Raw genomic sequence first — 13566 nt, forward strand, 5'->3', positions numbered from 1 at the left:
TGCTGAGGCCGGGCATGGAGCTGGGGGTCAGGCCCTTCAGTCTCTTGAGGGTGTTCAGGACCACGTTCAGGTACCTGTTCTTGTTGGGGCTGCAGTCGTAGGCCACCTTCTCCTCGTTCAGCGCCTTCTCCTCGGCCTCCTGCTTGGAGGCGCAGAACTTGAGACACTCTTCGGTGAACAGCTGGAGATAGCCTCGGCGGAGGACGGTGGGGACTTGGCACCCAGAGCTTCGGAGGATAATGGGTTTCTTCAAACTCAAACTCGGTAAGGATGCACGACGGACGATTCGCTTAGAGCTGGTGGTGGCGGTGGTCTTGCATGCCATCCCTGACCTGTTGCGCGTCTTCCCTGGCTGTCTGCCGACCTTGGAGCCACGGGACCGTTGGCTGCTGCTGGCCACCCGGGTTCTCTTGGCATCTGTGTAACCTGTGACCAAGCAAGGGCTGGAAGGAGTGGGCGATCGTCTTCCTCTTCCTGGGGGCTGAGATGCGGACTCCCGAGGGCCTCTCTGTCAGCCTTGGGGTGGCTGGCAAGCGGCAGGCCGATCCCCTCTGTGCAGGGAAGTAGCACGACTCCGTCACCATCTTGGGCCACGCTGGGGGCACCGCCGGACCCCTGTTCTGGGGCTCCGCCTGGATGTCCACAAATGCTGAGGCCTGCTTGTGCATCTGGGGCACCCAGAGCCCGAAGCTCTGGGCAGGCTGATGAGAGGGCAGTGGGAATTCTGGAGCCTCGAGGGCCGCCTCCTCGGCCACCTTCTTAGCTTCTGGGTATCCAGGTGGGAACCAGCAGGGAGCTGTGGCTCGCAACATCTTGCTGCCTTCGGGAGCACCGGCCGGGCTCTGCTCCGCTCCCAAATGGCGGCTTGCCTCCGGGGCCGCCTCCTTGGCCACCTTCTTAGCTTCTGGGTATCCAGGGCGGAACCAGCAGGGAGCTGTGGCTCGCAACATCTTGCTGCCTTCGGGAGCACCGGCCTGGCTCTGCTCCCCTCCCAAATGGCGGCTTGCCTCCAGGGCCGCCTCCTCGGCCACCTTCTTAGCTTCTGGGTATCCAGGGGGGAACCAGCAGGGAGCTGTGGCTCGCAACATCTTGCTGCCTTCGGGAGCACCGGCCTGGCTCTGCTCCTCTCCCAACTGGCGGCTTCAATGAGTGCTGCGGCCGCCACTTGTCGCCTTTATATAGGCACAGGGCAGACTGGGTGGGACTTCTCCTTGATAGGTTGGTGCTTCAGTCCAATCACACTGAGCCTCATCTTCCACCAGACTCCAGCTTGGGAATGCCTCAGGGGGTGCGCTAATGGAATCAACTGGAACTCCCGGTTGCTAAACTTGGAGCTAGGTTGCTTTTCCTGAGTTAAGTAACTGTCCCTGCAAGGCAGTCCTATAATGGCTACTGGAATTGGGCTACCTAGGATTAAATTAAGGTTCAGGGAGGTTGGTCAACTTGCTTGGGCCCACACAGCACCCCTTGGAGCCAGGACTGGGCCAGCAGTCTGCTGCATGCTGGAGGGCGGGATCCCTCTGGGGCTGCCTTTCCCTGCTCTGTGCACTCCGCCGCTGCGGGCAAATTGAGGACAGGAAGCGGACCGCACCCACTTCTCTCCCAGGACTTGGGCAATGTTCAACACAGGTGGTCTTCCAAAGGTTCATAGAAAATGCACATGGTGAAGAAACTATGCATGGATTTCCACTGGTTTGCACTAAAATAAACTTGTCCTAACTTCTGATAACCTTTCTGAACTAGATCTAGTTTGAGGCACTAAGAAGGATGAGACATCCACTGAAAAGGACTCCCATCAGAGCAACATGAATTCCACGAAAATTGCAGCAAGAGGAAACATCAAATTTATGGTGAAGCTTGGGTGGAAGATTGAAGAAATCATTGACGTTTTAAGAAAAGCTTGTAAGGACACTACCCCAAAGAAATGAACTCTTTACGAATGTATAGCTTGTTTCAAGAAGAGGTGAGAAGATGTGGAAGATGAATCCTTCAGTGGCTGTGAAAACCACTGTGCCCAGATCAGCTGCAGTTACGACGAGAGCTATCAGTGGAAATTTTAAGCAGGAGGGATCACGATCCTGACGCATCCCTCTGACAAATTGTAAGCGGCAGTTGGAACATGGCTTCACCAATATGATCTCGAAGGCAAAGCATCATGAAAGCGATGGCTACCAAGAGGTGGCAGTGGTCCAGTCAAAGGAAAAGGAGGCCAGTCAGGAGCCCACATCATGGCATCAGTGTTTTGGGACACTCAAGGCATTTTGCTTGTTGACTTTCTGAAAGGCCAAACATCTGCTTATTAGGAGAGTGTTCTGAGAAGCTTAGATAAAGCTTTGGTAGAAACATGCTGGGAAAGTCTCACTAGATCCTTGTTCACCACATCAATTCTCTGCTCATTCCTCTCATCAAACAAGGGCAATTTTGTCAGTTTCAATGGGCAGTCCTTAGGAATTCACCTTACGGGCTGCTTTCATTCCTTCTAAATTCTTTTTGTTTCCTAATGATAAAAAGTCTCCTTGCCTTGCTTGGAAAGATGAGAGAAAGTCTCCTTGCCTTGTTTGGACAGATGAGAGATGAGATCCTCCTCTTCTCTCCCAGGACAGAATGGTGAGACTTGAGTTTCCTTTCTCCTCACTCTTCTCCTCCTTGAGGGAGCTGCTGTGCCGGACAGACCTGCCCCCGTGTCTAGACACTGGTAGACTCGTTTAAGTTCCTCACAGGCAATCCTCCATGGGGTCAAAGTGGAAGGACTTATTTCTTGAGGGCTCAGTAGTCCACATCCTGGCGTGCACCTTCACCAGCCCAGGGCGGGGTAGAGGAGGGTGAAAGGGCGTGGCTCAGAGCCCGCTTCTTCCGCTCGGGCGTATCCTGGGAGGAACCCTTGTCCGGTGAGCATGTCTTCGTCTCTACCAAATTCCCTAGTGGGACATTTCTGGCAGCCCTACTTCTTCAGCAGCTTACGGGGGTCAGGTGGACCTCTGCTAGTCACCAGCCTGAAGCCCTTTCTCCATTTCAGCTATTTTGGCAGTTGCCTAGGTGACTTTTGAACCTCATTATCCAGAACAGCAAACGGACGAGGGGTGAGAAGAGTGGCCGTCTGGGTTTGCAGCATAGTGCTGCCTTCTAGGAGTTGTGCAGTCTTCGATTGTGTGAAACTTCACCTGGCTGATTTGTGGCAATGCCTCCACAAATTCGCTAAATTCAGTAGCTTTTGCCTTCCAAGATTCATTTACACAATGTTGAATGCTTTAAATGAATGAGCATGAAGAGTGCTGGGCTGGAAAGTGATGAGATGGGTGGTAGGGACTCCTCGGAGTAGAGGAGTAGAGTTTTACTATTATGACTAGGAGGCAAATAAAAAGAAGCTGAACGTGATCCATAATAAAAGAAGCACACACTCACAGAGCTCCATACCAACTACATTAAAATGGAAATCATGATATTTGGAAATACAACTTAATTGGAAATCATTAAGTAATCTCATCAACCTTTTTACAGTGGGTGGCAGGGCTATGGAGGGAAAACAGCAATGGTTCTGGCACCTACTTAACTTGATTCCATTAAATTCACCCAACAGGCCTCCAGAGAACATATTACTGCTTTGATATTACAAAGGGAAAAACAGCTATGGCGTCTCTGAAAAGCACAACGTGCTAGGACTGGAATGACTTTAAAACCACACATAAATTTCTGAGAGATTTTTGCCATAAGGTACCATCCACCTTACTGTAAACCACATCCTAAAATTGTCTGCAGTGCAAATGGATTATGTGCATCCAACAGGAAACAGCATAGGTTGAGAAGCTGTTACTTAATAGCTTCATTGTCACCACGAGTGTAAAGTGCGGGGTCTCCTCACTTTTGCACCCACGTTTTGCCTGTTGGTTTCTCCACACTGTCAGGAGCATTTGACCAACTCACTGTGGCTCAGGGTCCCTTACGCAGCCTGTTGGGGAAACCAGTGGGTATTGAAGACCTGCCTCTGGTGTGCCAGGAGGTTGTGCCTGCCGGCCACTCTGACTTGCGATCTTCCGCCTCAGTGTATGGCTTCCTACACCTGGGTAATTAACATTGCCAGCATGATAAGGAGGTCCTTTCATCACTATTGCCACTAATCCTTCCGACTCCTGTGCCCTGTTTCTCCTTTATTGGAACCCAAGAACGAGTAAACATAGCATTTTCAAACATCCCGCCCCCTTCCCTGGTAACACCAATATTCCACCATCCTAATTCCCTCACAAGCATTCAGTCTCTCCACCCTGAGGTGGTGAAATCCCTGCAGGCATTTATAAGTATACCTGGACAGAAGAAATACAAGATACCGTTCTATTAACTCAATATAGTGTTGCTAAGTTCGTACTTGTGCTTGGTTTATGTTATTTTATAAATACGTATCACTCGCATGGTTCCAAATGCGGTAGGCACAGAGAGTATATATGATGGAATTACATCCTCCTTCCCTGCACTCAGCAACCGAGATCTTCCCGCTACGGGCACTCAAAGGTTTCATTGTCTGAAATATCAGCCTAAACGTAGTTTATGTTTAGGAAGCAACAACCGTAAATAGGCCCACATCCAAACGGAGTGGATTTAGGTTTCACTTTTTCAAGGAAAAACCATCAAAGAATTTTTCCACATACTTATAAAGCATCCCACGTATAGAATCCATTTTTACTGACACAAATTTAGTACCAATAAACGACTCTTCTTCTCAATTTGTTTTATTTAACAATAAGTCTTGAACGTCATTCCCAGTTAACATTTTGAAGAGTTTCCTCTCTTTCGTTCTGTTTTAGCTGCAAAGTATTCTTCCGTAAGGATGAACGTACTATAATTTATTAGCCAGCCACTTAGTGATGTACAATTAAGCAGTTTTAAATCTTTGACTCTTGAAAATATTGTTTCTCACACATAAATATTTCTATAAAATAAATTAGTTGAATTAGAATTGTTGGAGTTCAAGACCAGCCTGGCCAACATGGTGAAACCCCATCTCTACTAGAAACACAAAATTAGCCGGACATGCCGGTACATGCCTCTAATCTCAGGTGAGGCAGGAGAATCACTTCAACCTGGGAGGCAGAGGTTGTAGTGACTCGAAATCACGCCACTGCACTCCAGCCTGGGCGACGCGAGCGAAACTCTGTCTCAAAAAACCAAAAAAAATTAAACATAAAAAGAAAAGCGGTACATATTCCCAATAGAACACAATTCAGCCTTAAAAAAGAAAGAAATCATCTCATTGGCAACACGAATGAGCCTAGAGGATGGTACACTGAGTGAAAGAAAGCAAAGGCCAGGCACGGTGGCTCATGCCTGTAATCCCAGTACTTTGGGAGGCCAAGGCAGGTGGAAGCGTTGAGCCCAGGAGTTGGAGATGAACCTGGGCAACATGGTGAAACCCCATCTCTAAAAGAAACACAAAAATTAGCCAAGTGTGGCGTTGGACGCCTGTAGTCCTAGCTATTCAGGAGGCTGAAGCGGGAGGAACTCTCGACCCCGGGAGGTGGAGGCCGTGGTGGGTGAGTGAGCCGTGTTTGTGTCACTGTACTCCAGCCTGGGTGACAGACTGAGACCCTGTCTCAAAAAATAAATAATTACATAATAAAATTTAAAAAGCAAGCACAAAAAGACAAATACTGCATGATCTCACTTATATGTGCAATCTCAAACAATGCAACTCATAGCTGTAGAGAGCAGAACGGTGGTTACCCGAGGCAGGGGTCAGGGAGGGACTGGAGAGATGATAGTCTCATGATACAAAATTTCAGAGAGGAATGGTTCTAGAGATCTATTGAACAGCCTGGCATCTACAGTGTATAACTATGTATTGTATACTTGAAAATTGCTATAAGAGTAGATTTTAGACATGTCCTCATCACATTAAAATCAGTATGTGAGGAAACGAGTGTGTTAATTAGCTTGATTTTGTCATTCCACAATGTATACACGTATGAAACATCATGTTGTATGCCATAAATATATATAATTTTTATTTGTCAAGTTAAAATTAAAATTCATATAAATTATAAAAATAAAATGAAATAACATACACTACAAAAGACGTTTATTTATTAAATCCCCACAGAAGGGGTCTAAGTGATAAAGGAAAATAAAATTCCGGGAACGGTAAAATCAATCAGAAATGCCCTACTTCAGTGCTTTCCGAAATTTGTCTGACAGAGTGGAAATCCAGTTTTTCACTAAGTCACTGTTCTGGAACAGTTTGTGTGTGTGTATGTATGTGTGTGAGGGCTCACATACACAAATTGAACTAATGGAAGTGTAAGCATTCAAATTATCAGTTTAATTTAGTTCTATACATATACACACACACACACTCACACACCGAAAACATTGATAAAATCAGCCATTCCAGCAAAACTAGCTACTTAGTGTCTATCTCTCCTTGAAGATTCAAACTAGAAATGAGGATTTAGAGAGGCATGATGGTTCGTTCTCTCTTGGAGCCCAGTTCGAAGTTGACTGACTGATTCAGTCATTGTAATTGGTTGGTCTTGGGGAAGAATCCACTTTGACTCTTGGGAAGTCAGCTAGGTCAGCGGACAGAGCAGGGGCTCTGGAGCCAGACTGCCTGCACCCGACTTCTAGCTATGATACCTTGGATAAACTACTTATCACCTGGGCTTCAGGTTCCTCATCTGTAAAATGGGGATAAGAATGCTATCTCTCTCACAACTATTAGGAGGACTGACTGGGTTAATACGTGCAAAGTACCAAGTACATAAGAAACCAACAGCCAGTGCTCATTACAATCATTATTATTTTGGGCAAGTTAAGCCGCATGGTTTCTTTAGGTATAAAATTAGGCTTTATTTACCTACCTGTTGGGTTGTTCCAAGGATTAATCACATAGTGTTCATGAATTCCCTTTATAAACTATTATAGAAAAGAAATATAGTTAACATTAATTGAACACCTACTATGTGCGATCGTTTTAAGGCTTGCCATGTGCTGCTTCATTCAGTCCGCACCATGACATTAGGATCACACTTTCGTTTTCCATTTTTTTTTAAATTATACTTTAATTACTAGGGTACATGTGCACAACGTGCAGGTTTATTACGTATGTAAGCACGTGCCATGTTGGTGTGCTGCACCCATTCACTAGTCATTTACATTAGGTATATCTCTTAATGTTATCCCTCCCCCTCCCCCCGCCCATGACAGGCCCCGGTGTGTGATGTTCCCCTTTCTGCGTCCAAGTGTTCTCCTAGTTCAATTCCCACCTATGAGTGGGATCACGCGGTGTTTGGTTTTTTTGTCCTTGCGATAGTTTGCTAAGAATGATGGTTTCCAGCTTCATCCGTGTCCCTCCGAAGGGCATGAACACATGCTTTTTTATGGCTGCATAGTATTCCACGGTGTATTTGTGCCACGTTTCCTTAATCCAGTCTATCATTGATGGACATCTGGGCTGGTTCCAAGTCTTTGCTACTGTGAACGGTGCCGCAATAAACATACGTCTGCGTGTGTCCTTTTAGCAGCATGATTTATAGTCCTATGGGTGTATACCCAGTAATGGGACGGCTGGGTCAAATGGTATTTCTAACTCTAGATCCTTGAGGATTCGCCACACTATCTTCCACAACCGCTGAACTGGTTTACAGTCCCACCAGCAGTGTAAAAGTGTCCCTATTTCTCCACTACCTCTCCAGCACCTGTTGTTTCCTGACTTTTTTATTGATCGCTATTGTAACTGGTGTGAGACGATATCTCTTTGCGGATTTGATTTGCATTTCTCTGATGACCAGTGTTGATGAGCATTTTTTCATGTGTCTGTTGGCTGCATAAATGTCTTCTTTTTAAAAGTGTCTCTTCATATCCTTCCCGCACTTGTTGATGGGGTTGTTTGGTTTTTCTTGTAACTCTGTTTGAGTTCTTAGTAGATTCTGGATATTAGCCCTTTGTCAGATGAGTAGATTGCAAAAATTTTCTCCCTTTCTGTAGCATGCCTGTTCACTCTGATGGGAGTTTCTTTAGCTGTGCAGAAACTCTTTAGTGTAATTAGATGCCGTTTGTCAATATAGGCTTTTGTTGTCTTTGCTTTTGGCGTTTTAGACATGAGGTCCTTGCCCATGCCTATGTCCTGAATGGTATTGCCTAGGTTTTCTCCTAGGGTTCGTATGGCTTAAGATGTAACATTTAAGTCTTTCATCCGTCTTGAATAAACTTTTGTATAAGGTGTAAGGAAGGGATCCAATTTCACCTTCGGACATATGGCTAGCCAGTTTTCCCAGCACCATTTATTAAATAGGGAATCCTTTCCCCATTTCTTGTTTTTGTCAGGTTTGTCAAAGATCCGATGGTTGTAGATGTGTCGTATTATTTCTGAGGGCTCTATTCTGTTCCATTGGTCTACAGTAACCAAAAAGGCAACCAACAGCATGCTGTTTGGTTACTGTAGGCTTGTAGTGTAGTTTGAAGTCGGGTAGCTTGATGCCTCCAACTTTGTTCTTTTGGCTTAGGATTATCTTGGCAGTGGGGGCCCTTTTGTGGTTCCATGTAAACTTTCAAGTAGTTTTTTCCAATTCTGTGAAGAAAGTCCTTGGTAGCTTGATGGGGATGGCATTGGATCTATAATATACCTTGGGCAGTATGGCCATTTTCACGATACTGATTCTTCCTAACCGTGAGCATGGAATATTCTTCCATTGGTTTGTGTCCTCTTTTATTTCGTGGAGCAGTGGTTTGTAGTTCTCCTTGAAGAGGTCCTTCGCACATCGCATCCCTTGTTAGTTGGATTCCTCAGTATTTTATTCTCTTTGAAGCAATTGTGAATGGGAGCTCAGTCATGATTTGGCTCTCTGTTTGCCTGTTATTGGTGTATAAGAATGCTTGTGATTTTTGCACATCGATTTTGTATCCTGAGACTTTGCTGAAGTTGCTTATCAGCTTAAGGAGATTTTGGGCTGAGACGATGGGTTTTTCTAAATATTCAATCATGTCATCTACAAACAGGGACAATTTGACTTCCTCTTTTCCTAATTGATTACTCTTTATTTCTTTCTCCTGCCTGATTGCCCTGGCCAGAAGTTCCAACACTATGTTGAATAGGAGTGGTGAGAGAGGGCACCCCTGTCTTGTGGCAGTTTGCAAAGGGAATGCTTCCACTTTTTGCCCATTCAGTATGATATTGGCTGTGGGTTTGCCCTAAATAGCCCTTATTATTTTGAGGTATGTCCCATCAGTACCTAATTTATTGAGAGTTTTTGGCATGAAAGGCTGTTGAATTTTGTCAAAGGCCTTTTCTGCATCTGTTGAGATAATCACGCGGTTTCTGTCTTTGGTTCCGATTATATGCTGGATTATGTTTATTGATTTGCATATGTTGGACCAGCCTTGCATGTCAGGGATGAAGCCCACTTGATCATAATGGATAAGCTCTTTGATGTGCTGCTGGATTCGGTTTGCCAGCATTTTATGGAGGATTTTTCCATCGGTGTTCCTCAGGGATATGGGCCGAAAATTCTCTTTGTTGGTTGTGTCTCTCTCAGCCTTTGGGATCAGGATGATGCTGGCCTCATAAAATGAGATAGGGAGGATTCCCTCTTTTTCTGTTGATTGGAATAGTTTCCGAAGGAATGGTACCAGCTCCTCCTTGTACTTCTGGTAGAATTCGGCTGTGAATCCGTCTGGTCCTGGAGTTTTATTGCTTGATAGGCTATTAATTATTGCCTCAATTTCAGAGCCTGTTATTGGTCTATTCAGGCATTCAACTTCTTCCTGGTTTACTCTGGGGAGGTTGCATGTGTCCAGGAATTTATTCATTTCTTCTAGATTTCCGAGTTTGTTTGCCTAGAGGTGTTGACAGTATTCTCTCATGGTAGTTTGTACTTCTGTGGGATCAGTGGTGATATCCCCTTTATCATTTTTTATTGCATCTGCTTGATTCTTCTTTCTTTCATTCTTTAATAGTCTTGCTAGTGGTCTATCAATTTTGTTGATGGTTTCAAAAAACCCGCTCCTGGATTCATTGATTTTTTGAAGGGTTTTTTGGGTCTCTATCTCCTTCAGTTCTGCTCGGATCTTAGTTATTTCTTGCCTTCTGCTAGCTTTTGAATGTGTTTGCTCTTGCTTCTCTCATCCTTTTAATGGTGATGTTAGGGTATGCATTTTTGATCTTTCCTGCTTTCCCTTGTGGGCATTTAGTGCTATAAATTTCCCTCTACACACTGCTTTAAATGTGTCCCAGAGATTCTGGTATGTTGTGTCTTTGTTCTCATTGCTTTCAGAGAATATCTTTATTTCTGCCTTCATTTCGTTATGTACCCAGTACTCATTCAGGAGCAGCTTGTCCGGTTTCCATGCAGTTGAGCGGTTTTGAGTGAGTTTCTCAATCCTGAGGTCTAGTGTGATTGCAATGTGGTCTGAGAGACCGTTTGTAATAATTTCTGTAATTTTACTTTTACTGAGGAGTGCTTTACTTCCAACTATGTGGTCAATGTGGAAATAAGTGTGATGTGGTGCTGAGAAGAATGTATATTCTGTTGATTTGGGGTGGAGCGTTCTGTACATGTCTCCTAGGTCCGCTTGGTGCAGAGCTGAGCTCAATTCCCGGATATCCTTTTTTAACTTTCTGTCTCGTTGGTGTGTCTAATGTTGACAGTGGGGTGTTAAGTTTGCCATTATTATTATTATTATTATGTGGGAGTCTAAGTCTCTTTTGATCACACTTTAAAGACCAAAAGGTAGAAGCGCAAAGACGTTATCTGTCCAATATTACAAACCTAGTAAGTGGTGGAATTTGGCCTTGAACCCAGATCTGTAACTCCAGAGCCGAAGTGCTTCACCCACCTCCCTGTGGTGCCTCTACAGAAAAAGAGGTAAGCAGGCATTCCGAAAGCTGGTGGGCCGGGGGGCTGGCCTTGTACTCAGAAGCCATGGAAGTCCCACGTGGGGTGGCTAGTGGTGTAAGGACAGAGGTCTCGGATGGGCAGAGGGATGTGGACAGGCGCGAGGGCGCGCGGCAGGGACTCGGGGGACTGGGAGTGGCGGCTCGGGGCTGCGGGAGGCGATTGGTGGAAGGACAGAGGTCTGGGAGGGGCAGAGGGATGTGGACAGGCCCGAGGGGCCGCGGCAGGGATTCCGGGGGACCGGGAGTGGGGGGTTGGGGTTACTCTTGGCTTTTTGCCCTCTCCTGCCGCCGGCTGCTCCAGTTTCTTTCGCTTTGCGGCGAGGTGGGCAGGGTGAGCTCTCGGGACTGATGGCGGTTTTGGAAGAGGCCTGGGGCTAAGGACAGGCCAGGGCGGCGGGAGAGGCGGACCGGTGGCGTGGCTGGATCTGGGCGCGCTGTCGGACCTTCCACATCACCAGCTGCAGGCAGGCGTTTGCGTCCTCGCTGGAGTTGTGGCCGTCCTGGCTGTCCTGGATGATCTGTGCCAGGTAGTCGGCCGCGAGATTCCTGAGGGAGCGCTTGTAGGGGAAACCCAGGTAGTGCGGGAAGAGCACGGCCGTGTCCACCACGGTGCTGTGGATGAGCTTCAGGGCCAGCAGGTCGCTCTCCAGGCTGTGCCCGATGAGGATGGTTTGGGCGCTGAAAAAGCTCAGCAGGATGGCTTGGACTTGGGGCAACGTGATGCTCGTCTTGGCGACGTCGGCCTCGGTGACTCCGGAAAACCTGGTGTTGTAGTCCACGATCTCGTTGTCGGGCTTGACGAAGGTGTCGTACACCACTCGCATGTCGGCGTCCACCACGGTGACGCGGGTCAGCTCTAGGCCATGCGTGGTGTAGCACATCTCACAGTCCAAGGCGTAGATTCCTGGATAAGCGTCTCTGGACAACTCTTTCTTGAAGGTCTCCACGAAGCCATCGAGGCTCTCCTTGCGGCCGTCCCGCACGTGCTGCTTTGCCACCTGGCAGCCCACAGAGCCAGGAGCAGCTGCACAGCAGGTGTACTGGCTAACCCGGCCTCCAGCCACCTGGCTCGAGCGGACCCGCCCCCAGTGATAATAACACAACTGGTCGCGTACACAGCGGCCCGAGGAGGACACCAGGTACTCGGTGCCACAACGGCAGCAGACCCTGCAGGAGGAGTCGCCGGGCCCCTTCCCCTGGCCAGTGAAGAGGACGGCGCCTCCGGGCCGCTCGGGGTGCGGGAAGGGGTAGCCGTTCTCCTTGAGCTGGTCCTGGGTGAGCAGGAACTCCTGGAGGCGGCTGTACAGGGCGGCCCTGCTGAGGCCGGGCATGGAGCTGGGGGTCAGGCCCTTCAGTCTCTTGAGGGTGTTCAGGACCACGTTCAGGTACCTGTTCTTGTTGGGGCTGCAGTCGTAGGCCACCTTCTCCTCGTTCAGCGCCTTCTCCTCGGCCTCCTGCTTGGAGGCGCAGAACTTGAGACACTCTTCGGTGAACAGTTGGAGATAGCCTCGGCGGAGGACGGTGGGGACTTGGCACCCAGAGCTTCGGAGGATAATGGGTTTCTTCAAACTCAAACTCGGTAAGGATGCACGACGGACGATTCGCTTAGAGCTGGTGGTGGCGGTGGTCTTGCATGCCATCCCTGACCTGTTGCGCGTCTTCCCTGGCTGTCTGCCGACCTTGGAGCCACGGGAGCGTTGGCTGCTGCTGGCCACCCGGGTTCTCTTGGCATCTGTGTAACCTGTGACCAAGCAAGGGCTGGAAGAGTGGGCGATCGTCTTCCTCTTCCTGGGGGCTGAGATGCGGACTCCCGAGGGCCTCTCTGTCAGCCTTGGGGCGGCTGGCAAGCGGCAGGCCGATCCCCTCTGCGCAGGGAAGTAGCACGACTCCGTCACCATCTTGGGCCACGCTGGGGGCACCGCCGGACCCCTGTTCTGGGGCTCCGCCTGGATGTCCACAAATGCTGAGGCCTGCTTGTGCATCTGGGGCACCCAGAGCCCGAAGCTCTGGGCAGGCTGATGAGAGGGCAGTGGGAATTCTGGAGCCTCGAGGGCCGCCTCCTCGGCCACCTTCTTAGCTTCTGGGTATCCAGGTGGGAACCAGCAGGGAGCTGTGGCTCGCAACATCTTGCTGCCTTCGGGAGCACCGGCCGGGCTCTGCTCCGCTCCCAAATGGCGGCTTGCCTCCGGGGCCGCCTCCTTGGCCACCTTCTTAGCTTCTGGGTATCCAGGGCGGAACCAGCAGGGAGCTGTGGCTCGCAACATCTTGCTGCCTTCGGGAGCACCGGCCTGGCTCTGCTCCCCTCCCAAATGGCGGCTTGCCTCCAGGGCCGCCTCCTCGGCCACCTTCTTAGCTTCTGGGTATCCAGGGGGGAACCAGCAGGGAGCTGTGGCTCGCAACATCTTGCTGCCTTCGGGAGCACCGGCCTGGCTCTGCTCCTCTCCCAACTGGCGGCTTCAATGAGTGCTGCGGCCGCCACTTGTCGCCTTTATATAGGCACAGGGCAGACTGGGTGGGACTTCTCCTTGATAGGTTGGTGCTTCAGTCCAATCACACTGAGCCTCATCTTCCACCAGACTCCAGCTTGGGAATGCCTCAGGGGGTGCGCTAATGGAATCAACTGGAACTCCCGGTTGCTAAACTTGGAGCTAGGTTGCTTTTCCTGAGTTAAGTAACTGTCCCTGCAG

At 48.7% G+C, this 13566-nt stretch overlaps 1 pseudogene across 1 annotated transcript, besides 1 other annotated feature; it reads right to left on the reverse strand.

Annotated features, from left to right (window-relative positions):
- Window positions 7149-7650: an enhancer, noted in NCBI's record as "OCT4 hESC enhancer chr8:86783174-86783675 (GRCh37/hg19 assembly coordinates)". NCBI's record gives its function as "activates a minimal SCP1, AML or CMV promoter by ChIP-STARR-seq in naive H9 embryonic stem cells {active_cell/tissue: H9 hESC(naive)}" and the evidence as "EXISTENCE:reporter gene assay evidence [ECO:0000049][PMID:30033119]".
- Window positions 11220-12297, reverse strand: REXO1L2P (REXO1 like 2, pseudogene; annotated as a pseudogene). Its single transcript, NR_003594.1, has one exon. The product of NR_003594.1 is annotated as an REXO1 like 2, pseudogene (transcript).
- Between the last annotated feature and the right edge of the window lie 1269 nt (window positions 12298-13566).

The sequence above is a fragment of the Homo sapiens genome, chromosome 8 (assembly GCF_000001405.40).
Source record: "Homo sapiens chromosome 8, GRCh38.p14 Primary Assembly".
NCBI lineage: Eukaryota > Metazoa > Chordata > Mammalia > Primates > Hominidae > Homo > Homo sapiens.